Source organism: Homo sapiens, chromosome 9 (assembly GCF_000001405.40).
Source record: "Homo sapiens chromosome 9, GRCh38.p14 Primary Assembly".
NCBI lineage: Eukaryota > Metazoa > Chordata > Mammalia > Primates > Hominidae > Homo > Homo sapiens.
In genome coordinates this window covers 73864769-73870347 of record NC_000009.12, presented here as the reverse complement: position 1 = coordinate 73870347, position 5579 = coordinate 73864769, and the positions used below count along the sequence as shown (strand labels likewise).

The 5579-nt window shown below is 34.4% G+C and overlaps 1 annotated feature.

Annotated features, from left to right (window-relative positions):
- Positions 238-1437: an enhancer, noted in NCBI's record as "P300/CBP strongly-dependent group 1 enhancer chr9:76483827-76485026 (GRCh37/hg19 assembly coordinates)". NCBI's record gives its function as "activates an origin of replication core promoter dependent on BRD2, BRD4, P300/CBP, MED14 and CDK7 cofactors, with strong dependence on P300/CBP, by STARR-seq in HCT116 cells {active_cell/tissue: HCT116}" and the evidence as "EXISTENCE:reporter gene assay evidence [ECO:0000049][PMID:35650434]".

The following is a 5579-nucleotide window of genomic DNA, read 5'->3' as shown; positions in this document are numbered from 1 at the left end:
TGAAAGTTCATCTGTGCAGCAGTGATTGTCAGTCTGATACAAAATCTCCTGCGGAGGAAGCGGGGAGATTAATTATTGAACTAATTTTTGAACTAATTATTGAAAAGATTTATTATTGTTATTTTTGTTGTTGTTTTGCTATTATAATTGTTAAGAAACAAAATTTTTACATTGAGAACTTGTTCTAGAACTGAGAAAATTATGGTGCTTTATGTTATAGACAAAGGCAAATGTGGGGAATGACAGGCTGATGGTGAAATGAAAAATTTGATTACTGCATAAGCTATTTGAACACGTAATAATGGACATGTTAATCTGTTGACCTCCTTTTAAAAATTGTTTATTTAATCCCCAATATTGAATCAAAAGTGAGGATTTGGATCTTTGTCTCCCTGAGAAATGACTGGTAGGGTTACATATCTTTTATATTTTTCACTTTAAGCTTTAAGGAAGCTGATTTACCCCTGAATATAAGCAAGTGTTAAAAATAGCAGCATCAATGTGTGTTTAATCAGTATGTTTAAGAACTATTCTAATATCTGTTCATCAGATATTTGGAACAGCGGTTTGATAATCAAAATGCTAATCTGCACAGACCATTTATAATCTAGTTGTGCTTGTAATAAATAAATCTTGAGGGCTAATATGTATTCCTTACGTTGCTGCTATTGAATAGAAAGGAAAGAGTCTCTAAATTCTCTTATAAAATGAAAGAACAAGTCTCCTTGTTTGTATTCTTTTCTCATAAATTCTACCAAACAGATGTTTACACTTGTTGTCACCTGTATTTGTCACTGTACAGGCTGTCTCTTGCCAGCTTGTCAGCATGTTGTTAGGCATGATTCATTGTGTGCTGTCAGTCCTGCGGTTTCCTTACAAAGAGGCAAATCTGACTTCCGGGCCTGAATAGAGAAGTCATCAGGGTAGTAATCAGTGATGTACAGAACTTAGCTAGCCCAGTGGAGCTTGACGCCTCCTACATCACCCTTTGGTGAGTCAGTGCTCCAAGCTTGAACAATATTGAATAAAAAGATTAAAAAATACAGATATTGAAGTATTTCTCAGATTTTTAAGAAAAGTAAAATAAATGCATTGATGTTCAGTATACTCTTTAAATAAAAAGATATACTTTTTAAATATCTTTTGTTACTGTGGAATTGAATCTCCCGGGGCTATCAGAATGCTGAACTATTGCCCAATTACCACATCATAAAGCTGTTCCTAGAAGATCATACAAAATATTGGAATAAATTGAGAATTCTACCTTTCTGTCACTTTATAAATCTAGTTCAAGCTGCACTCATCAACACAACCTAGTTCACCTAATGAGAGTGATTTATATGGAGCAAAATTACGTTGGCTCCAGAGGTGATGGCAAAGGGTGGAGTACGAAGACACTGGGGGGCAAAAGTATAAAGCTCACCTAAAGCTCATTACCACAGAAACGATCTCATTATGGACTTTCATACAGACTCAACATTTGGTTATAAATTTTCCATTCTTTACTCAAGAGATTTTTTTTCCTAATTCTCCATAGCATCTAAAATATTTTACTAACAAAATATCTTAAAAATATAGGCCGACATGACCAAGATCGTTTCTTCTTCCTATTATTTTAGCTAAAAGTGAAGCATCAGTGGTCACTCATAGGAAGCTGACATTTGTTTTCTTGCCTGGAAAAGACCTTGTTAATTTAGAGGAAACAAATTACTCTAAAACTAAATAAATACAACTAAGTCATGATGAAGAACTACTACTTACAATAATACCCCTCTTTTGTGCACTATATGTGTGTGTCTACACACCACATATGTCACTTTACTCTTGTGTTTATTACCAAATAATTATTTTTCATTTACCTTGTACCAGATGCTACTTTAGATGTTGAAGATACAATAATAAACAATACAGACATGGCTTATATCCTCAAAATTTTCCATATTAATAAGGGGAACACTAATGTAATATTTATTTATTTATTTATTTCTGAGACAAGGTTTCACTTTGTCGCCAAGGCTGGGGTGCAGTGGTGTGATCTAGGCTCACTAAAGCCTTGAACTCCCAGCTTACTGAGTCCTCCTGCCTCAGCCTCCAGAGTAGCTAGGACCAGAGATGTGTGCTACTATGCCCAGCTAATTTTTTAAATTTATTTGTAGAAATGGGGTCTCTCTATGTTGCCCAGGCTGGTCTCAAAATTCTAGATTCAAGTCATCCTCCTGCCTCAGCCTCCCAAAGTGCTGGAATTACAGGCATGAACCACCATGCTCAGCCTAATATTTACTCTTTGACATAATTTTAACATTTACACACATATGTATTTTTTCTATGTATGTTGTTTGTAACGAGGGTACATGTCAAGTTATTTCTAGTAACATATACCTGCATTATAGAATGACCTGACGTGTACTGATGTTATGAACAACATACATAGAAAAATGCATATGTATATAATGTATTATGTATGTAATACATATATATATATATTTACTGTATATACATGGACAGATGACCCAAAGTGGTCATCCCTGTAGCACTTAAGAAGTGTCACAGTACATATTCACATGCTATGACTATCTAACAAAAGACAGTGGATTTTATGATATAGGAATACAAAATAAGACCAATGACCTTTCAGATTTCATATTGCCTTTCTTTCCATCAGTGTCTCATAAGTGATTTCCTACATTCGTATTTTGAATGAAGGGAAATTAATTCTACAAATAAGTACAGGTTTATTTTTATTTTATAAGTAGGTCAAATATGATGGCTGAAAGTGATTTTTACAGTTTGGCAAAGTTTATGACAAACATTTTAATCTTTTTTTATTATACTTTAAGTTCTGGGGTACGTGTGTAGAACGTGCAGGTTTGTTACATAGGTATTCATGTGTCATGGTGGTTTGCTGCATCCATCAACCCGTCATCTACATTAGGTATTTCTCCTAATGCTATCCCTCCAGTTACTTATTTTACTAAACTTCCCTCTGACATTTACTTTAACACTTCAGATTAAAATCGTTTGGTGCCTTCTGAGCTGTTCTCATGTTTTCTTCTAATATACTACCTAGCGTCAGCATAATAAGTAGAGTTGTAGATTTTAAGATTTCAGCTAATTCATCCAGTCCAACTTAAGCTTGATTCTCCTGGACATAATAAATGTTTTTAAGGCTTAATCAAAAATATCTCCAATGATGGAGATTCCTCATCTCTCATAAGAGCTTTTTTTTTTTTTTTTCCGACAGCAGCAGCAGCAACAACAACAACAACAACAACAAAACTCTAGATGGGACTGATTGCTAAAATTTTCTTCTTATATTCAGCTAAAATTTACTTTTTTGTAACTTCCATCCATTTCCCCTAGATCTGTCCATTGAAGCCTCTTAGGATAGGTGTAAACTCTTTCTTTCTGATGAATGACATTTAGAAAGCCTATGTTCTTTTTTTCCATAACATTTGTCATAATTAGCAACCAACTAATTATGTGAAGTTATTGACTTACTGTTCGTCGTTTCCAGTTTCCTGACTTTTCACCACTTTTTCAGCATTGCACAGCTCTGGGTCCGCAGAAAGCTCTTAATAAATATTTGTTGCATGAATGTATGTGAATGACTTAATGAATATTTTAGATTATCTTGTCCTGTGTCTTAGATGGGGTTAAACCAGAAGCGGTCTGTAATAGGAAGATGTGTTAGCAAGTGATTTATTAAGGGAGTAATCCAGGAAAGAATGAGAAAAATGAAGGAGAAAAGTTGGACAAGGGTGGTATTAAGTAAATCAAGGGTGAGCTGTCATGCAAGGTCTTCTGAAGGGGTGAGCTTCAGCTTGATTCTTCAGGGCATTTCTAGAGCATAACTTCCACTAAGAGTTGTACATCCTGAAGAAAGTCAGTTGAGCTCTCCTGACTCTAAATTTGTCAGTAATTTGGGTAACAGCCAATACACCGAGGGATAAGAGTCCCGGAGCACTTGTGACCCTCTATACTTAAGGGGAAAAGGGCAACTTTATTCCAGTAGCTCAAGGGCCATCCTTTAAAGAAAAGCAACAGACATTGGTTACGAAAAAGCAAAACCACACAGAAGGTGAGGGATGGGAGTACACAAAATAATGGTATAAATGATCCTGGGAGACCTGGGTAAAGTATCAATCTTACTACAGCTTCCTCATGAATATTCTCCTTTATATAGGCCCAACATCCCAGTACCCTTAGCCATTTCAGAATATGTATTCAATTCACCTCCTGCACACATCCCTCAGAAGGAGCATGCTTTTCAGATTTTAATCTTGCTCAAAAAAGAAAAAAAGTTAATGTGAATTGTGTACAGTCTGATCCAATTCTAGACAAAAGCCTGTTACCTTGGATCTCAAAAATGTCTTAATTCAAATTCAATAATATATATGAAAATTTAAACTTTAGCGTCTTTCCTGAAAGTGTTACCCATATTGAGTTTTAGATTAAAGACTCCAGGCTGATGCTTCAAAGCAAAACTGGGAACCAAGGATGTGAGAATGCACTGTAAGAACCATCGTAAAGAAAATCCTGGACTTCTGTGGAATAGGACTCAAAAGAGAAAAACTGGAAAACAGAAAGTTAGTCTGACAAGCCATCTCAACTCCTGTGATTAAAAACTTCACATAAATAAAGTCACAATCTACTTATCTTGAGGCTGCCTATGATAAATTTTAAAACAAATCTAGAAAATGGAAAGACAAATAACTATAAAAAACTTGATAGTTCTCACTAATCTGCTACTTTGAAAACAATGTTAAAAATTTAATTTCAAATAAAGTGCTTTTGCTTCTAATATGGTATTTTAGATGATACAGGCTGGACTTCGATTCTACCTAAAACTTTCTCAGTTCCTTCAATATTATTCTTCAGACTGTGAAGCCAAATTCTTCAAGGGACTAAAGAAGACCAAGTGATAAGGGAAACGTTGCAGGGGATTTTGAAGTTAGGATAGATGTTAGGATTTAGGGCTTCTTCTTATTCCCAACATCAGATCTGCGTTTCTTGATGTATTTCTGGATTTTAGTTTAGGAGCCTGACTGGGACTTGAAAAAAGATAGAAGGGCAGATGTGACAAAAAGTAATGAAAGTAGCCCTCTAAACTTTTTATTCTCCCCTGGGGTGGGAGGGGAAATTATTTCAGGATTACTAAGTACTGAGAGCAGAAGATTCAGAAGAATGACTATTTTATTTTGCTTTTTCCTTTTCCTTGACATTTTGACTCCAATAAAGACATATTCTGAACTAAGAAAACAAAGCTTACTGAAGAATAATGAAAATTTTAACCCAGCTATGCATATTTAGTGAAGCTCCTTTAAGTAGCAATGTAATCTCATGACCATGTTCAATTTTCTCAGAAAATAAACAAGAATTTTCCACTAAGAGCAAGTATTTATTAAATTCCAATTAAAAATAATACCAAGAAGATATTTTCATGTGAACTGTATACTGTAAAAAATGGGTGTATATATAATGTTTTCTCTCTTTATAAAACTTTTATATTAATTACTGTTTGCTTGACATAGTTCCAAGTATTTTACAAATTTAACTTTTAAATGCTCATTTTAAATATT